The following is a 21268-nucleotide window of genomic DNA, read 5'->3' as shown; positions in this document are numbered from 1 at the left end:
CCAGCTACTTAGGAGGCTGAGGCAGGAGAATCGCTTGAACCTGGGAGGCTGAGGTTGCAGTGAGCGGAGATGGTGCCACTGCACTCCAGCCTGGATGACAGAGCCAGACTCGGTCTCGAAAATAAATAAAGAATAACCTTTGTTTACATTTTCATGTATATGTCTCCAGATGTTCCTCATATATCCATATAAGTATGTATATATGATGTACATAAGTGCATAAGTAAAAATACATAAGTAATTTTAAAAGAGGTTATATCATAGCTGAATCACACATGACTTAGACCACACTTGCTCTTCTGAGTACCCATTTTTGGACAACTCTCAGTGTCCACTAGCATGTCTAAAAAAAATTTCTCCTCCTAAAATGCTAATGCATGATGTAGATTTTAACTACAGCTTTTGAGGCTCAGTGGAGGAGAGTGTACATCACACTACCCAATGCAAAGCCTTTTAACAGCCCCTTTTGCTCATCTTTGTTTTCCTTCACTGTTCCTCGCCCTGCAGCAGGCAGCTGACATTCACCTTTCCCTTCCACCCTCCTCTCTCAGCACTGGTCCTTTGCCTCCTCCCTCATCCCAGCTCTACAAATGGCCTCAGCCTGCATATTCCAACCACCCAGCAAAACAAACATCTAGTAACTACCGGGTCAGCAAGAGAAAATCGGAGGCCCTAGCCATAGATAGATCACCTTATCATTTCTCCAGCACATTCCAGGAAGGATCTCAATTCGTTCTGTCCCAATATACCTCTACATCCTTTGTTTTGATGATCACATAGAATTCATTGTATGCATATATCATTATTTATATAACTAAGCCCCCAATTTTGAACAAGAGGCTACATACTGAAAATCTTTTATCTACCAAGTCTTTTTTTTCTTACAAACCCATCCAATACAGTTGCACTGTATCCGCCAATACAGTTCATGCAACTGTATGGAAAGCAAACTCTAGAAGAGTATTTGATAGCTCCATAAGAATATTAAACTCTTATACTTCTAGAGCGTAAAACCCCAGAAAAGTATTTTGTCAGAAAAAAATCATGTTTTTGAAATAGTAGGTTTTAAAAGAAAACAAAGAGAGTTAGAAGTAAGAAAATTCAGGTTATCAGGGGCTTGATATCTTTTTTTTGTGACTGTAGTCAGGTTACCCAGGCCTTTGTGGATCAATTTCTCAAACAAATAACAGAGATGAAAACAACTGTCAGTAGCTACTGTCACAAAAATAATATGATAAACATCTTTTCGTTTCCTATGGCTGCCATAACTAATTATCACAAACTTGGTGGCTTAAAATAACAGAAATGTATTTTCTCACAGCTCCAGAGTCCAGAATTCCAAAATGGAAGGGTCAGCAAGGCTGCACGCCCTCAAAACACTCTTGGAGAGAATCTTTTCTTGCTTCATCCAGCTTCTGATGGCTCTAGGCAATCCCCCGCTTGTCACTGCATCACTCCGGTCTCTGCCCCCATCTTCAAATGACCTTCCTCTGTGTCCCTGTCTTCTCTTCTGTCTCTTATAAGGACACTTGTCATTGTACAGTATTTAGGGTCCACATAGATAATCCAGGAGGATCTCATTTTAAGATCCTTAACTTCATTACATCTGTACAGATCCTTTGTCCAAATTAAGGTAATGTTCACAGGTTCTGTGGGTTAGGATGTGGACATATCATTTTGAGGCCCACCATTCAATGCACTACAATTTTCTTTGTAAGTGTTCTGAGAACCCAGGAAGAATAAGTAAATCCTCTGATTCAATCAAAAATGAGCAGAATGTAAACCAAAAATACTAGAAGATATCCTTTTTCCTAGGCACTGGCATACGTTTCAATAGTATCTCTAATTACAGATGTATTTACACTTCTAAGTGTCAGAAATGAAGATTATTATGACAAATTTAAAATTTAGTAACTTGTTTTTAAACTGGTATTTTTGTTTTTTTAAGCGATCATCTCAGTCCACATTGGAACGATCTGAACAGCAGATCAGGGCTGCTTCTAGTTTGGAGGAACTACTTCGAATTACTCACTCTGAGGACTGGAAGCTGTGGAGATGCAGGCTGAGGCTCAAAAGTTTTACCAGTATGGACTCTCGCTCAGCATCCCATCGGTCCACTAGGTTTGCGGCAACTTTCTATGACATTGAAACACTAAAAGGTAGGTGTGTGGATGTGGAGACAAATTCTTTCTCTTTATTAGATAGTGACAAACACACTTACTTTCTCCAAAAGTCTGCGTAGGGCAGACACGTGTCAGAGGGAGAATGAAAGTCGGTCTTTGATTTCCAGTATTAGTGCAGAATCTTGATTTTTTAATGTTTACTTCACAGAGAAATATATTCAATATGATTTTGAGATAAAAAACACAAAAGAACATCTCAAAATATAGAAATAAATTTAACTCAAGGATGTGGGGGCAAAGAAAACCCAGGAAGACTATTGTTCTCAATAGAAAAACAATCATCAGGTTTACTTAGAAAATAAAACCTGGGGATTCATCCACAAGGAGTATTCTACTGCCATACATACATAGACAAAAACCAAAGATGGCCAGGCATGGTGGCTCATGCCTGTAATCCCAGCACTTTGGGAGGCCAAGAACGGCAGATCGCTTGAGCCCAGGAGTTTGAAACCAGCCTGGGCAACATGACGAGACCCCATCTCTACAAAAAAATAGAAAAAAATAGCTGAACATTGTGGTACGTGCCTGTATTCCCAGCTACTTGGGAGGCTGAGGTGGGAGGATCGGCTGAGCCCAGGAGGTCGAGGCTGCAGTGAGCCATGATCATGCTACTGCACTCCAGCCTGGGCAACAGAGCAAGATCCTGTCTCAAAAAAACCACCCCCTCCCCGAACCAATAGATTAGGTATAGCTTTTTTTTTTATTTCTGCAAAGTTGTGTGATTTTTTAGTAAAAGTGAAAAGTAAAAGTTAGACACTGAGTTGTAATATTGGGTACTGGTATTGCTAGGAGAATAATGAAGGGAGAAAATTCTCAAGACAAAATGATCAAAACTCCAGACTAGAAAATAACATAATTTGAAATAAGGATAATGATCGTTCCCTAGTAACGTATGAAGATTCTTTAAAAGAAAATCAGGCCAGGTGTGGTGGATGACACCTGTAATCCCAGCACTTTGGGAGGTTGAGGCAGGTGGATCACCTGAGGTCAGGAGTTCGAGACCAGCCTGACCAACATGGTGAAAACCCATCTCTACTAAAAATACAAAATTAGCCAGGCATGGCGGTGCATGCCTGTAATCCCAACTACTTGGGAGGCTGAGGCAGGAGAATCACTTGAACCCAGGAGGCGGAGGTTGCAGTGAGCCAAGATTGCACCATTGCACTCCAACCTGGGCAACAAGAGTGAAACTCCATCTTAAAAAACAAAAAAACAAAACAAAACAAAACAAAAAAACAAAGAAAGAAAGAAAGAAAACCAGTGTGAGTAGGTACTGTCATAATGAATAAAATGCTTGTCAAGTAAAGTTCTGTGGTTTCTGATTAGGCACTTAATTTTTTGATGTCATGTCAAAACAACACAAGAAGCTGCTACAGCATTGCTGATCTAGCATTCTAGATTTGATTAACATGATTACCTGGTAACTGACTATATATATAGCATAATTCAAATTAACCACTAGGCCAAAACTATTTTTTTCTTTCTACCTAAAATTGTATTTGTTTTTTCCCATTTGTAAAAAGATGTTGGGGTTGCACAGACCTCTGTTGTTGGCTGTGGGGAGAGCTGTGCATAGATGGGGACATATTCTTTGGTAGCACCTTGGGCATGAGTGTGAAGAGGATTCTTAGTGTTCATGTGTATGACTGTGTGTCTAAGTGAGTTGATGTGGTAGGAACCATAGCCTCGAGCTCACTTCAGACAGAAATTTGAAGCTCTAGATGTTTCTATGTGGTGAATTAATATAGCCTTCATGAGAACAAAGGGTTGGCACCTCATCTAGAGGTCAAAGGCCTTAACCAGATTACCTGACTGAAGGCCTGAGGTGAACCTGGAGCTATTTCATGAACATGAACGTTACCATAAAACCAAGACTAGGTGATCTAAAAAAAGTCAATGACATTGACATTTTCTAAGGAGAAAACCATTAAAATATCACGGAATTTGCAAACCCTATGAATTTATCTCGTAATTTCTAGGGGATCATCTGAAGTTATTTACTAAGTTAGAAGCAGTCAATAATGAAATCAGCATGTTACACCAATTAGAATTTGTTATCAACTCTCCCTTGTGGATTTCAAGGTAATTTCCTGAGGCAGAGCAGTCCTGCTGGGAAGCAGTAAAGAATAGTAGAGTTATGAAGCCTTTAATCAGTGATGTTGGTCATAATTGCATATGATTTTGATTAAAAGCTTACCACTCCAATTTCAAAACTTAGTTTTATAAAAAGAGAAAAAGCAAATGGAAAGCAACCTTTAAGTAGAATTTTAAATTGGGAATATTTTCATAGGTTGGTTTCTTGTTTTTTCAAGGATTCATGATTAATTATAGTGAATTAAATAATAACCATAATAATACTTAATTGAGTAATTTATCTCTCATGTGTTCAGCCTTCAGGCTTTTTATATAAATATTAATAATCAGAAATTTTTAAAAAGGTTTCTTGGGGGCTGGGCACAGTGGCTCACGCCTTTAATCCCAGCACTTTGGGAGGCTGAGGTGGGCGGATCACAAGGTTAAGAGATCAAGACCAGCCTGGCCAACATGGTGAAACTCCGTCTCTACTAAAAATACAAAAATTAGCTGGGCATGGTGGCGCATACCTGTAATCCCAGCTACTTGGGAGGCTGAGGCAGGAGAATCGCTTGAACCCAGGAGGTGGAGGTTGCAGTGAGCCGAGATCGCGCCGCTGCACTCCAGCCTGGCAACAGAGTGAGACCCCGTCTCAAAAAAAAAAAAAAAAGTTTCTCAGGATAGAATGTTTTATTATGAGGAAAAAAATAAAAAAAAACAAAGTTTAGGTAGACTGTGTAGTATAATGCAGTGCTCCAGACAACTCATATTATGTTTTCAGTGATTGAAGAAGCAACATATGAAAAAAATTGGTATTAAGGGATGAAAAAGGAGAAAGGAATGGAGAAGATGTTATAAGGGAATAATTTAGGGACTAGGGTCACATCTCAAATGGTAATATTGTATCAGTATACTTCAAGCAGACGTTTTCTCTATTCCTTCTATTCCCCTATATGGGAATTCAGGATAATCTCAGGAGAGTTCTTGAAAATGCAGTAAAAATAAAGGAGAGTTTGCCTATTGTTGCATAACACATTACCACAAAACTTAGCTACTTAAAACAATATTTATCTCAGTTTCTGTGGGCCAGAAATGCTGACATGGCCTAGATCAGTTTTTCTGCTTCAGATGTCTCTGGAGGCTGCAGTTAAGATGTTGGCTTGGGCTGCAGGCATCTTAGGGCACAGCTGAAGCAGAGTGTGCTTTCAAGTTCAGTCAGCTGTTGTTTGCAGGACTCAATTCCTCACAGGCTGTTGGACTGAGGGTCTTAGTTCCTCGCTGGCTATTGGCCAGAGGCTGCCTCAAGTTCCTTGTCGTGTGGACCTTTCTAACATGGCGGCAAACTAACACAAGAACTGAAAACCAAACACCGCATGTTCTCACTCATAAGTGGGAGTTGAACAATGAGAACACATATACACAAGGAGGGGAACATCACAAACCAGGGCCTGTTGGTGGGTGGGGGGCAAAGGGAGGGAGAGCATTAGGACAAATACCTAATGCATGCGGGGCTTGAAACCTAGATGACGGGTTGACGGGTGCAGCAAACCACCGTGGCACATGCATACCTGTGTAACAAACCTGCACGTTCTGCACATGTATCCCAGAACTTAAAGTAAAATAAGCTAAAAAAAAAAAAAAAAAAAAAAGCCTGCAAGTGGAGAAGGAGGAGAGAGAGAGAGAGAGTGTGTGTGAGAAAGTGAGACAGAGTAAGAAAGAAGGGAGCTTGCAATAAGTAGAAACAAGACTGCAATCTTTTTTAACTTCATCATGGAAGTGGTATCCCATCACTTTTGCTGTATTCTCTTCATAAGAAGCAAGTTACTAGGTTCAGCTCACACACGAGGGGAAGGCATTTACACAAGGGCATGACTATCAGGAGATGGGGACCACTGGGGGTTAGTTTCAAAGCTGCCTACCACAAGAGATTTTCACCAGCACCACAACCCCACACATAATAAATAAACTCTACAGTTCCATGGCAAGCTACAAGGAAGTCTTTGTGTTGTCTTTATCATAAAATTGAATCTTTCCCCCAAAACACCTGTAGAAAGGCTATGCAGCATTAAGTATCAAAGGGTCAAAATCTAATTTAAAAAATAAATTATGAGAGAAAAGCAAGTACTGTTTTACAAGAAAGTATATAATTTTTTTATTCCCATAGGCTTCTTTTTTTGTTACCTTCAAATTAACTATGGTCAAAGGATTGCTCATTCCAGTAATAAGAACAGGCTTATTTCATCATTTACATAAATATCAGTATCGGGCACTTGCAAATGAGAAAACTCTGATTTGAGTAAGGATTAGTTTCACTTCAATTTCCATTTATGCGTTTGCCAAGTTTAAATCCTACTGTAGTTACTTAAGCAACCAACAGAAACATATTTCTTGATGATGCTAAAACCTACCTACACCTGGCTTTAAAGCAGAAGAAATGCTATCCAGCTGTATCCTATAAATTGCTTGATAAATAATATTTACATGTTATTTCTTTACACGCTTCTATTTACTTCCCTATTAACCAGCTTCTCCAGATGTATTCAGTGTAATTATGTACAGGACATGGTGTTCTACCTCAAAGGGAAATAAAATACTTATATTCTACAAGGTATGGTATAAATGGGAAAGAGCACAGAGATTGGTTGTAACTTCTCTGCAAACAATCTTTGGTTAAAGGACTGACAAAAAATATCCATCTAGTAAAAGAAACAAGCAGTAGAAATGTGAAAATGACTGTGTTCAGCATAACCCTGGCACATGTTGGCACACCAGGACCATTCCACCTGCTAGCCCCAGTGAGCTTTCTTTCTCTCTGCAGTTATAGATGAAGAATGGCAAAGAACTCAGTGCAGCCCTAGAGAAACGTGCGTGGAGGTGGCCAGTGAGCTGGGGAAGAGTACCAACACATTCTTCAAGCCCCCTTGTGTGAACGTGTTCCGATGTGGTGGCTGTTGCAATGAAGAGAGCCTTATCTGTATGAACACCAGCACCTCGTACATTTCCAAACAGGTATAAGGACATCGGCAAGCCTGCCGTCTCTAAAGCCCTGATGATAATAGTGTTGATAGCTACAACAACCTTGTTGCTAAACACTGTACTAAATGCTTTATGTGCATAATCGCATTTAATCTTTGAAACAAATCAAGAGGGTATTTTATGCTCCTTTATAGATGAGGAAACTGAGGCTCAGAGAGGTAACTTACTTATCCAAGTTTACACGGCTGATAAATAGCAGAGCTGGGATTCAAACCCAGGTCTGTGGGAGGCCAGAGCCTGAACTCTTATCAGTTATTGTCTCTCTGATGCTATGATGTCAAGACTCAGAAAACCATATGGAAGTTACTAGGACAGGATGTTAAAAGGAATGAAGATAGCTGATGGCAGGTTCTGTGTTGCTCAAATGGAGTGATTGAGAAAAATTTAATGAAGGTTGTGGGCAGAATTGGGGAAAGAGGGATGGGACAGTGAAGCACCTGAAGCTAGCAAAAAGGGTGAGATTTCCCCACCCTTCGACTGAGGAGACAAGGGGAGGGAGCAGTTATGGGAACCCAGAGGGAAAGCGGAGAAGAGGGTTTCTGGACTGGCCACTGTCAACTCTTAGCCTGGCAGGGAGTAGGGGCAGGGGCTGGGAGAGGCAAGAGGGTTTATAGATGTAGCCCATGGAGGGCAGCGTCCTGGGGCACAGAGCCTGATGGGGAAGGAAGGGGAGAGGATGGTGTCTCTGGAGGGGCAAAGAGAGAATATCTAGCACAAAAGACATTTGGAAATAATTCTGCAGTCCCCATGAAAGAAATAATTCAGCCCTCTTCATCTTATAAATTTCCCTTTGCTTAGTAGGTAAGTTTTCCTTTCTCTGGTTACCATGTTTTTAATAAATGTCGCATATGAGAGCAGTAGTAACAAACTTGGGAAAGCAATACTAAAAAACTGTACATCAAACTACATTATTTTTGGTATCTGTTGCAAATTCTTTGAATGTTGATATACTTATTTAATTGTCAGTTTGCCTATATGGTTTATTCTCCTTTTAACTGCAAAAAGAGGTAGTACAAGAAAATTACATGCACTGAATATATCCATGTTAGGTAATTTTCTTAATGCTGATTTGTTTTGTTAATAGATTTACTTATCCTTAATTTTGTTCCTCCACCCTCTAAAATATCCTTTAAACTGCAGAGTTTCTTTTTCTAAATTCTTTTAGAGAATCTTGGAGCTTGTGTGTATTTTAACCTCTACTATTTGACAATTAGGAAAAAAAAATGACCCAAGTAGGGCTAAGCATCAATTCTGAGTAGAAAAAAAGCTTGCATAACGTAAGAGGGTTTAGTTCATGATCATGTGATTCCCTAGAGCATAGCCAAAAAATTGTGCAAGAAGATGAAGTTTATGCAAAGTAAACACTACAAAAACACTCTCACTGAGACTCATGGAAGTTCCATTACATATTGAGATGTCAGAATAAACACAACCTTAATGGATTGCTTCCACTTAATAGATAGTTGAGTACTTTATTTTGACTGCTGTACTCAACAAATGATTAATTTCATACAATGTACTTAAGTGTAAGTGTACAGCAGTTTTTCTTCCAAATATGCATTTTTGAACATTTTAATAGTAGTTTTTTAAAAACTATCTCTCGCCCCAAAGTTATGGACTATTTGGCAAACCACCTCTTAGAAACAAAGTGAACAAATGAATACTCTATGTAGTAAGGACTACATGGAATGGTGATTGAATAGACAATGCATTAAAATCAACTTCAAACTCATCCACACATCATAGAACCACTCAAGAAAGTTGTGTAATCTCTCTGTACATCTGTTTCTTCACCTGTAAGATGGGGATAATAAAAACCCACCCCATAATGTTGTTATAAGGGGTAAATGAGTTAACATGAAAGCACTTACAACAGGGCCTGGCCTACGGAAAGCGTAGAAAGAATGATATACATGTTAGCTATAATTATTTGTTTGGGCATGATGATCTTGTATCAGTCAGCTATTAATACACAGTGCTACGTAACAAACACACTAAAACTCAGTGGTTCCAAACAACAATGATTTACTCTCACTTATGTATCTGAGGTTCAGTTAGTTTAGGGTGGATTCAGCTGGGCTTGACTCTAAGCTGCAGTGTGAGTCCAAGTCAACTTCTATGTTTCCCATCGCTTGGACCAGCAAGCCTGCCGGATTATGTTCTTTTCATGGCTATAGCATAAGTTTGAGAAAACAAGCCCCATAAAACATGCACAGTTCAAATTTGTACTTCTGTCATGTCTGCTAACATCCCACTAGCCAAAGAAAGTGACATGGCCAAATAAAAAGTCAAGAGACAGGAAACTATATTTCTTCAATAGAGATGGTGTGAGAAGGGATGAATAAATAGTTTGAATAATAATCTATTCTAATAAAATCCTAAAGAAACTGCATAGCTTTAATCTCATTTAACCCTTACGATTTACACTCAAATTTAAAGCAGGAGCAGGGATTAACAGTACCATTTTACAAGAGTATCAATGATCAAAAAGTTAAAAGATTTGACCAAACTTAAACACTTCATAAAGTTAGATGAGCCTGTTTAGTTCCATTCTTAATGGACAACTTGGCTAAAGTCATTGCCGTAAATGACAAAGGCAAAAATTCAGACTAGAACAACTTTAAAAATGATATATAAAATTAAAAAAATATATTGTGGTTATCTTTCTCTGCTGTAGCTCTTTGAGATATCAGTGCCTTTGACATCAGTACCTGAATTAGTGCCTGTTAAAGTTGCCAATCATACAGGTTGTAAGTGCTTGCCAACAGCCCCCCGCCATCCATACTCAATTATCAGAAGATCCATCCAGATCCCTGAAGAAGATCGGTAAGCACTTTTGTTTTTTTTTTTATACTGGATTATGCTTATTTTTGCCTTGCCAAAACTGTGTGTAGAGGATTTTTCATTAATGTAGAGTTATCAATTTATCTTCAAATTATTCATATTTTAGCTTCTAACCTGAACCTACTGGTAATAACTGGCAAATACATATTTTTATTAGATGTTAGATATATATTGTGGTAGGACCAAAACGCTCAGTGGTATGAGCTTGTCATGTCTACTTGTAGACACGTTTGTTCTTAATATGCATAGTCTACTGCAGGTGTAAAACCGCTGTAACCTCAAATTTAGCACATGTTCCAGAACAAGCATTAAATAAAACTTATTTCAGGCTGTTTGTATATTTACATCCTGAAATGAGAGAAAACAAAGAAGATTCCTGGGGTCATTGGGGAGTGACAAAACTAGCAGCACGTGAGTTTTGCAACTTTCTAATCTTTCCCCCTTAAGATTACCAAATGGAAAACCCTTATTTTAAATTAAAATGACTTAAAATTAATTTGGCTTTGAAATTCTCTTGAGATTAATTTTGTGATTATTTATAAGACAAACGACAAAACCAAAGGTAAGGATCACTTATTTGAAGAAAAAAAAGGATTTAATATAAAGAAACAAGTAAAGGGTAACTGAATGAAAAGATCATTAGTTAGATACTTAGACTTTGCAAAAGTAAAGCAATAAATATATTGTGTGAGTGGCAAGTAAAAGAGTAAGCTGGTGATTAGTTAACATTGAACCAAGAAGACACCTCCCGCCTCTCTCCAGCAGAAAAGAAAACTTGTAGAAAAGCAACATTTATTCTCAAGATGTTCCTGCTGTTCTGGCCAATGCTTTTATCTTTATTTTAAAGAAAATAATCTTAGGGGCCGGGCACGGTGGCTCACACCTGTAATCCCAGCAGTATGGGAGGCTGAGGCGGGCAGATCACGAGGTCAGGAGATTGAGACCATCCTGGCTAACACGGTGCAACTCCGTCTCTACTAAAAATATAAAAAAAAATTAGCCGGGTGTGGTGGTGGGTGCCTGTAGTCCCAGTTACTTGGGAGGCTGAGGCAGGAGAATGGCATGAACCTGGGAGGTGGAGCTTGCAGTGAGCCGAGATCGCGCCACTGCACTCCAGCCTGGGCAACAGAGGGAGACTCCGTCAAAAAAAAAAGAAAAGAAAATAATCTTAGGAGGTATGTTAGAACATATTTAATTTTCGTAAATAAACTGTTGACAGCTATAATTTGCATAGTTTTAACATATACCTTCTTAAGAAGATTACAATTTCCAAAATTACAGTTTAGTTTCTAAACATTTCCACGTAGAATATTTATAATTACAGAATCACTATCTAGTAAGATGCAGTTCATAAATACAAATTAAGCTCCTTTAAAATCTTTTTTTTTTTTGAGACGGAGTTTCGCTCTTGTTGCCCCGGCTGGAGTGCAATGGCGAGATCTCGGCTCACTGCAACCTCCGCCTCCCAGGTTCAAGTGATTCTCCTGCCTCAGCCTTCCAAGTAGCTGGGATTACAGGCATGTGCCGCCACGCCCGGCTAATTTTGTATTTTTCAGTAGAGATGGGGTTTCTCCATATTAGTCAGGCTGGTCTCGAACTCCCGACCTCAGGTGATCTGCCCGCCTCGGACTCCCAAAGTGCTGGGATTACAGGCGTGAGCCACCGCACCTGGCCCGCTCCTTTAAAATCTTAACTCTTCTCACATCCTTATCATTTTGTGGTGAGAACATTTGAAATTTACTCTCTTAGCAATTTGGAAATATAAAATACATTATTATTATTGACTATAGTTACCATGCTGTGCAATAGATCTCAAAACCTTATTTCTCCAAACTGAGTATAAAAAGCAAAAAATAAATTTAAAAAATCTTAACTATTATCTACTCAGGAATTTATTTAATGTTCCAAAGTTTTGATTATCCTTGAAAGCTTTTAAATCTGGTTCATTGTTTTCTTTTCCTAGCTGTTCCCATTCCAAGAAACTCTGTCCTATTGACATGCTATGGGATAGCAACAAATGTAAATGTGTTTTGCAGGAGGAAAATCCACTTGCTGGAACAGAAGGTAATGATAGTAGTAGTAAAATAATAACAGTAATAATAAAAGTAGCAACAATAGCAGCAACCGTTATTGAGTACTTAGTATGACCAGACAATGTTGTAAATCTTGTATATGTTTTAACTCATTTAATTCTCACAACAACCCTGTAATGTACTATTGTTATTTCTTTTTTTACAATTACAAAATGGGCACACCAAGATATCGAGTAATTTCCTCAAGGTCACACAGCTGAGAGTGATAGAAGTGGTCAGATTCCAGAACCCTCTGTACCATAATCATATAGTAAGTCCATCAATGCATCACTCTGCTTTTTAATCTCAAAGAAAAGCCCAGAGTGGTTGGAGCATCCTGAAACACTGAAATTGAAAGGGGATGTTAAACTTGAATGAAAGCTGCTTCAGAACTAAATACTAGTCAACTGCAGTTTACTAATTTATTTGTATAAAAGTCTCACAGGAACATAAAGTAATTTTGGACTTGGTTTCTGTCAGCTGCATCATATGAAAACACGCCAGTAATTTGAAAAAAGAAATGGAGAATAAGAGAAAATTTTTCTGGAATTAGGGCAAAGCAAAAGCAAAATATGGCTATTGGTCTAAGGGGAGCTGGGAGCAAAATGAGATATAGTCAAATTGTCATTGCTCATAATCCGTAATTCTGTGACTTTGGGTGATGAACATTTGCTTGAAAATGAATGCATTTTAATGTATTTTCCAGAGAGCTTTACATGGTTCCACCAAAAAAAAAAAAGAAAGAAAAAAAAAGTCACAAGTAGTCATGCAGTTTTAACCTTGCTTGTTTTAAACTATAATCTATAAGCAAGAACAGTAAGGGCTAAACTCTAAGAAATCTGTCCTATAAACTGTAAATAGCAACCTACTCTCCATTCTTCTGCCTCTCAGCTTCCTTCTAAATGTTTTCACGAAAGCTCAGCCCAGAGCATGTGGGGAAATTTAATATTTATGTGGTTTAAATGCCCATGCCGATCTTGAATGTTCTTTACACCCTTCCCACCAAGTGTTCAGCCATCCTCTACCAGAACATACATCAGTTATTTGGAGACTCGCCATCCAGTGAGGCAGCACCAAGGGGTGGGCACACTCCTGTTGTTATACTGAAATGAAATCTCTCTCCAGAACAGACCAGACTGCCCAATGGAATACAATAAGAGTCATATATGTAACTCACATTTTACATTAAAAAGATAAAAAGAAACAAGTGAAATTTATCTTAATATATTTTATTTAATCCAATCTATCCAATGTACTATCATTTCAACATGCAATCAATATAAAAAATTTATGAGCTAGCCTACATTCTTTGTGCTAAGTCTTTGAAATCCAGTGTGTGTTGTACACTTACAGCACATCTCAATTTAGACTCTCTATTTCATGCCCAATAGTCACATATGGCCCATAGCTACCTTGTTGGACAGCCCAGCTCAAGAGCATCAACTCATTAGTTCAGGTTTTACCCTATAGAACCATGTAAAACAAATCTAATTCTTTCTCCATGTGACTCATGTTCTAAAAGTGTTAGAAAATTTTTGTGGGGTTGGCCGGGAATGGTGGCTCATGCCTGTAATCCTAGCACTTTGGGAGGCCGAGATGGGAGGATCACTTGAGGTTGGGAGTTTGAAAACCAGCCGGGCCGGCCGGGCGCGGTGGCTCACGCCTGTAGTCCCAGCACTTTGGGAGGCCGAGGCGGGCGGATCACGAGGTCAGGAGATTGAGACCATCCTGGCTAAAACGGTGAAACCCCGTCTCTACTAAAAATACAAAAAAAAAATTAGCCGGGCGTAGTGGCGGGCGCCTGTAGTCCCAGCTACTTGGGAGGCTGAGGCAGGAGAATGGCGTGAACCCGGGAGGCGGAGCTTGCAGTGAGCCGAGATCCCGCCACTGCACTCCAGCCTGGGCAACAGAGCGAGACTCCGTCTCAAAAAAAGAAAAAAAAAAAAAAGAAAACCAGCCGGGCCAACATGGCGAAATCCCATCTCTACTACTACTAAAAAAAAAAAAAAAAAAAAAAAAAAAAAAAAAAAAATAGCTGGGCATGGTGATGTGCGCCTGTAGTCCCAGCTACTCAGGAGGCTGAGGCATGAGAATCTCTTGAACCTGGGAGGCAGAGGTTGCAGTGAGCCGAGGTCATGCCACCGCACTCGGGCCTGGATGACAGAGTGAGACTCTGCCTCCAAAAAAAGAAAGAAAGAAAGAAAGAGAGAAAGAGAAAAAGAAAAGAAAAGAAAGAGAGAGAGAGAGAAAGAAAGAAAGAAAAGAAAAGAAAGAGAGAGAAAGAAAGAAAGAAAAGAAAGAAAAAGAAAGGAAGGAAGGAAGGATAGAAAGAAAGAAAGAGAAAGAAAGTAAGTTACTGTGGGAAGGGCAATATACTTAGAGCTTAAAGGCTCTAGCTGAGGATTTCCTGGCACAAAGCCTCTGAGACAGTTTTGTACGGAGGAGGTTTGTAGGCAGGCACAAGGCATTAAAGGGTAAAGAGAGAGGCAGCAGACCACAGCGCAGTTGCTAAGAGGCATCAGCCTAAGCCAATGGGAAGTTGAAGCTGGGAACCCCTGCGGGGGTAAGTCTTAAATCTAGGTGAAGAGGCTGAGCCCTGTAGACCGTTCATTGGCTGCCTTGGAGAGGGGATGTAGCCTTAGGAGAGGCAGCTTATTTCTGCTGGAGATAATTCTTGGGAAGGCACTCAGCCAGTACACGTGTGTAGAGGGTGGTAAGAAGAATAGGGAAGAAGAGAAGTGCTGTTCTAAGCAGCGGGTATATGAGCACTCAGGGCTGGAGGTGAGAGAACATACTGGAAGAAGTTCAGCATGGTGGGGATATAATGGGTGGGGACATAATGGGGAAGGGGCTGGTTAGATGTGAGAGAAGAAGCTGGACAGGCTCACAGGGGCAAAGCAGAAGGACCTTGTAATTCTTGCATGGGAGCTTGGATGTGATACTAAGGACAAAGGGAAACCACACAACTGGCTAAAGCAGGAGAGTGACAGTACCCATTAGAATTTTAACAAAATCATATCAGCAACAGTGTAGAAGAGGATGTGTTGACTCGGGGCAGGGAAGGAGGCAGGAAACCTTTTGGGAAGTTGTAGCAATGATGTAAGTGAGAGGCGCAGGGTGGACTGGATCACAATTGTTTCTCATTCTCATCTCCTATAAGTCCCCAATGTGGATCAAGTTCACATTCATTTCTCCAGTGGCCCCATCAAATTGATGGGATTTACTGAGCTTACTGCTCACTATACTTTTTTTCCGCACATGTGACTGTTAAGCCAACTGCCTTTTCTACAGTGACTTCTCTTGCCCAGATGAGCACATTTAGGTTAGTGAATCCAAGTCTAATTTAATTGAGTCTTGTTAGAGTCAGGTCATTGCTCTAAATTGTTAAAACAAACGATATACACAAACACACACACACACAAAAGAATAAATTGAGGAGGTCCCAATTCTGTATTTTAAAATACTTAATATATCCCTTCCTTCTTGAAGAGAGCTACAATTTCAAGAATTTATTTTGAAAAAATTCTATCAGTTTATTGATAAAAATGGTAAAAGGAACAAAGCTGAGAACAGAACATATCATCAGACTCTCTAGGGACGGAAATCAATACATAATACTTCAAGATATCACCCTCAGCTACTTGCTGTTCCACCACCAGTTCTCTTGCATCCAGTTTTTGTTTCTTTTAACTTGGCTATAAGGATGTGAGCACAGACTCTGCCAAACAGCCTGCTGAAGTTCTGCAAACACCTTGTGGATTGTGTTTCCCTGAACAACCCTGTCCAACAATGGCCTTGGGCCTGTCTGAAGTATTCTTAGTGAACTTCTGCTGCCACCTAGTGATCATTGCGAATTTTTAAAAAGCCTCTTTATCCTTTAACAAGTTACTCTTGTCTTACCCCAAAGCGGCATCTGCCTCACTGGCATATGACTTACAGAGCTCACATTTTCCCTCTCCACAAAGTTCAAAATGGAGACTTCTCAGATTTAGCCTTCCAGCACCCATTCTCAAACGTCGTGCATTACAGAAAAGTTTAAACTATAAAGTTGAACCGCACGAGATTCTCATTTTGATATGTCATTAAAGTCAGATATTGGCAAGAACATATGGTTTAACCCAATGGCTTGGAATGCTGGATGGGATTCCCAGAAGCTCCATACATCGGCCTGCTTCAGGACCCTTTTATTACACCAAATAAACCCAACAAACATCCATCGAGTGCCTATTTTATATCAGAACAATGAGACCTGCTCCTTCTCCTTCAGGACATTTTACTTAATGGGGGAAACATACAAGTAAACAGACAAATGTAATCAGTGCAAGAAAGAATCGGACAGCAATATGCACAGGATAAGGACACTTAGCTAAACCTGCAGACATTGGGAAAGATGTCAGGGAAAAGGGATGGCAGAAGGAAAGACAAGGCCAAAGGCATGGGACTGGGAGGCACTGGAATATCAGGGCAACAGAAAGTGCTGTCATTTGGTATAAATGGAACACACAGGATATATGAAAGCAAGAAACAGAAGATGAGTCTGTGAGGTTACTATGATCCAGTTCATGGAGGGCCTTGTATGTCCTGGTGGGAAAATTGGTTTTTATTGTGGGAAGGGAACCTTTTAATGCATTCAAAGCAGTGGAATGAAGTGATTTGGTTTGCATTTGTTAATCATGTGAAGAAGAATAGGTTGGAGGGATAAAACTTGTGGTGGTGAGATGAGTGACAGAGCGACAGCCATCTACAAAAGAAACACAAGGTACAGACTGAATTGTGGGAGTGGTAGTGGGGATGGAAAATAAAGAACAAATTTAGAGAGGCAGAACTGAGTGGACATGATGCTCAGACTTACCAGAGCAGGTGAGTCAAGAATGATGTCACCATTCCCTAAATGAGGCAAACTGGGAGAGAAGCAGATTTGGGGAGAAAACTACTAAACATGTACGTCCCTCCAAAACCTTCAAGAATGCTAAAGGGACAGAGTCAAGTTCTTCCAAAGTTTCTGTCTCTTCCATTTATTTTGCAATGAATTTCAACTTGTTAATCAGAAATGGATTTGGAGTAGTAGCTATTCAATTGTTTTATACACCTTCTAGAAGAAATATTTGTCAGATGAGTATGTCAAAAACTTCTCAGACCCTCCCCTTTACTTGAATGTATCTTCCAGCAGATGTTGGTGGAATCAAAGTTCATTATTACTCCTATATCTTTTATACTAGTGTTATGATCTGCAGTGAGGACATGCATTGCTATTGCTACGCCTGGCCTGGAATGTCTGAGGTGTATTTCTACAACACCAATTATTTTGTGTGTCTCTCCTTTTAATCTCCACCAAAAAATGGAGACAGCTAGATTCATAACCCTTAGACATCCTATATTTTATTACTAATACTTGGTTGTGGAAGTTTGCATTCTAAACAAGTCATCAACATAAAAATCTCTAAAAATATTTTATGAAAAATATTCAGCTTATGATATTTTAAAAATCACAAACCTAAGAAAACACACAAACCTGTGTTTGTATTGTGAAATCAGAGGTTAATCTTCCTCACCCTGTGAAAAAATTAGGGGCATAAATCTATAGGAAGGAGATTGGGTGAATCCAAGTTACTTACGGATGACATAAAAGATACAATCAACTTTGGTGATCCAATTGCCACACTACAACTATCTGACCAACACGTTTCTGTTTCTCTTTAGACCACTCTCATCTCCAGGAACCAGCTCTCTGTGGGCCACACATGATGTTTGACGAAGATCGTTGCGAGTGTGTCTGTAAAACACCATGTCCCAAAGATCTAATCCAGCACCCCAAAAACTGCAGTTGCTTTGAGTGCAAAGAAAGTCTGGAGACCTGCTGCCAGAAGCACAAGCTATTTCACCCAGACACCTGCAGGTAAATGCCTTGAGTTGTCTTGCCTTTACTCATGACATTTAACGTAGATGCCATTTTAATTTGGTGGGATTCCTTAGTAAGCTAATTTTTCCCCTTGGTGCCTGAGTCCCTTTTGGATAATAGAACAGAGGTTTAGCAGCTAAGGAATAAGCAAGAGTATACCGAGTCATGATTAATCATGAAAATAAGAAAATCAATCCTGCCTGTTATTATGTGTGTAGAGCTTTTTTTTTTTAGACGGAGTCTCGCTCTGTCTCCAGGCTGGAGTGCAGTGGCGTGATCTGGGCTCACTGCAACCTCCGTCTCTCTGGTTCAAGGGAGTCTCCTGCCTCAGCCTCCCAAGTAGCTGGGATTACAGGCACGTGCCACCACACCCAGCTAATTTTTGTATTTCAGTAGAGACGGGGTTTCACCATGTTGGCCAGGATAGTCTTGATCTCCTGACCTCATGATCCACCCGTCTCGGCCTCCCAAAGTGCTGGGATTACAGGCATGAGCCACCGCGCCCACCCGGGGTTTAGAGCTCTTAAACAACAATGAAATTGGTAAAATTTAAGCAGTTATTAGGATATTGCTTAATAATAATATTTTAGGAAGGGGAGGTTTCAGATCATCAACCTGTTTAGTTCAATCTCTCATTGTTTATGTCTATATATGTTTGTTTTTTTCTTTAATGGAGGGAATATCATTGGATTTATATAGCAAGTAATTTATTCATGAATAGAACACTTGGAGGTTACTGATTCACTTCAGTAGATTTTGAATCCATGTGGGATAACCATGCAGGATTTTATACTGACATTTTAAATACATGTCTGGAAAACTTAATCAAATCAGAGCAGAGTTATTCTTTTGAATCCAGTCATTGATTCTGAATTCTCATCTTTATTTTCTTTTGCAACAGCTGTGAGGACAGATGCCCCTTTCATACCAGACCATGTGCAAGTGGCAAAACAGCATGTGCAAAGCATTGCCGCTTTCCAAAGGAGAAAAGGGCTGCCCAGGGGCCCCACAGCCGAAAGAATCCTTGATTCAGCGTTCCAAGTTCCCCATCCCTGTCATTTTTAACAGCATGCTGCTTTGCCAAGTTGCTGTCACTGTTTTTTTCCCAGGTGTTAAAAAAAAAATCCATTTTACACAGCACCACAGTGAATCCAGACCAACCTTCCATTCACACCAGCTAAGGAGTCCCTGGTTCATTGATGGATGTCTTCTAGCTGCAGATGCCTCTGCGCACCAAGGAATGGAGAGGAGGGGACCCATGTAATCCTTTTGTTTAGTTTTGTTTTTGTTTTTTGGTGAATGAGAAAGGTGTGCTGGTCATGGAATGGCAGGTGTCATATGACTGATTACTCAGAGCAGATGAGGAAAACTGTAGTCTCTGAGTCCTTTGCTAATCGCAACTCTTGTGAATTATTCTGATTCTTTTTTATGCAGAATTTGATTCGTATGATCAGTACTGACTTTCTGATTACTGTCCAGCTTATAGTCTTCCAGTTTAATGAACTACCATCTGATGTTTCATATTTAAGTGTATTTAAAGAAAATAAACACCATTATTCAAGCCATATAATTTTATGTTATTTAATATGCTTCCACTCTATATTTATGCTAAAGAAAAAGTGTTTTAAAGAAAGAAAGGAATTTCAAAGTGGAAGGTGCAGGAAGAGACACAAACACTGGACCTCAGTTTTGGGAAACCAAGGGAATAGCTCTCAGAAAGGTTAAGATCCTAAATGAGGCTAAGCAAATGTGACCCAAGAATCCACTGCGAATCACTCTGTGCCTTGAGATTAAATTGAACTTGACCTGATCCCCATCCCATGGCAGAGGGGAACCCATCCATGCCCTTGACCTCTTTGAGAGTTTGCATTTCTTCTAGCCACCTCTGGCTCCAAGTTTCTGCACTTACTCAAATCTCAGTGTCATGGACACCCCAACTCTCATGGCAACACAGTTCTTCTCTCTGTTCTACAGCTATCACTTTTTGTTTTGTTTTGTTTTGTTTTTTGTTTTGTTTTTTTTTTAGACGGAGTCTCACTCTGTCGCCAGGCTGGAGTGCAGTGGTGCGATCTTGGCTCACTGCAACCTCTGCCTCCCAGGTTCAAGTGATTCTCCTGCCTCAGCCTCCCGAGTAGCTGGGTCTACAGATGCACACCACCACGCCCAGCTAATTTTTGTATTTTTAGTAGAGACGGGGTTTCACCGTGTTGGCCAGGATGGTCTCAAGCTCTTGACCTTGTGATCCACCCTCCTCAGCCTCCCAAAGTGCTAGGATTACAGGCATGAGCCAGCGCGCCCGGCCACATAAAGCCTTTTTCCTCAAAGTACTCCTACATCTAATTTGTTAATGATGTAGACTTTATTGAAATTTTGCCATAACAGAGAGAATTTAGCAGCATTAGCAGATTTAAGTTATGTATTAAATAACTTAAAATTAATCCCTGCATAGTATCTTGCATAGATAGATATGTATATAGACACACACAACCCATTATGGTACTTACAACACATTTGTGTAAATAGTAGTGTTCCTGTTTATCTCCCCACCATACTGTGACCTCATTATGATTGGAAACGGTGTCCTGATCAAATTTGTGTAACCCAACTTTCTCAGGCCAGAACACCCTGGAACAGTACAATCAAAAGGAGAAAGACAATGATAAACAATGGAATAGTAAACAAATGTAGCCCCATGGTAGTGGCATTGTTTGATCCTGGCCCAAATCCCTACCCTTCCTCTGCCAGGGTTTCTAAGCAGTTCCTGAATTCTCCCTTCATTCACTGAAATTCTCTGAAGCCTGGGGCTCCAGGTCCTTTGATGCTTCCCTGGCTTTAACTCTCAGTCCCTGCCCTGGGGACATGAGCTAACCTTCACCTGGCCTTGGAACCACTCCCCACTGTGCTGCCATTGTCATTGCTCTTGTCATTTACTGGTGCCAACCCAGTCACTCCTCTTTTGCCACTGTTCTTTTTGCCCTCACTTTATGACCTTGATGTCAACAGGCTTCTTCCTTCTCATTTTACTGTATTTTTAATCAGGCTTCTGAAAATGCTTGCACATAACTTAGTTTTTTAAAACATACTTGGCATTCGACTCTTTGCTTTGCCTTTTCGTTCAGTTTCTACCACTCCCAACTTCTCCATGATATTTGCTTAAATTC

The 21268-nt window shown here is 39.9% G+C and overlaps 1 protein-coding gene and 1 long non-coding RNA gene across 2 annotated transcripts in view; both read left to right on the top strand.

The window, feature by feature from the left end:
- The window catches only part of VEGFD (vascular endothelial growth factor D), a 38818-nt gene extending 19146 nt beyond the window's left edge, over nucleotides 1–19672 (top strand). Inside the window, exons 2-7 of the mRNA NM_004469.5 lie at nucleotides 1949–2159; nucleotides 7075–7265; nucleotides 9970–10118; nucleotides 12100–12200; nucleotides 17909–18104; nucleotides 19009–19672. Coding sequence (NP_004460.1) covers nucleotides 1949–2159; nucleotides 7075–7265; nucleotides 9970–10118; nucleotides 12100–12200; nucleotides 17909–18104; nucleotides 19009–19135 — 975 coding nt within the window. The 3' untranslated portion in view covers nucleotides 19136–19672. The remainder of the gene's footprint in view (nucleotides 1–1948; nucleotides 2160–7074; nucleotides 7266–9969; nucleotides 10119–12099; nucleotides 12201–17908; nucleotides 18105–19008) is intronic.
- Nucleotides 1–19677, top strand: part of PIR-FIGF (PIR-FIGF readthrough) — a 145719-nt gene extending 126042 nt beyond the window's left edge. Inside the window, exons 10-15 of the long non-coding RNA NR_037859.2 lie at nucleotides 1949–2159; nucleotides 7075–7265; nucleotides 9970–10118; nucleotides 12100–12200; nucleotides 17909–18104; nucleotides 19009–19677. This is a non-coding gene — a long non-coding RNA (PIR-FIGF readthrough). The remainder of the gene's footprint in view (nucleotides 1–1948; nucleotides 2160–7074; nucleotides 7266–9969; nucleotides 10119–12099; nucleotides 12201–17908; nucleotides 18105–19008) is intronic.

Source organism: Homo sapiens, chromosome X, assembly GCF_000001405.40.
Source record: "Homo sapiens chromosome X, GRCh38.p14 Primary Assembly".
Lineage (NCBI taxonomy): Eukaryota > Metazoa > Chordata > Mammalia > Primates > Hominidae > Homo > Homo sapiens.
The sequence above is the reverse complement of the archived record's forward strand: the minus strand, read 5'-3'. Positions and strand labels throughout refer to the sequence as shown.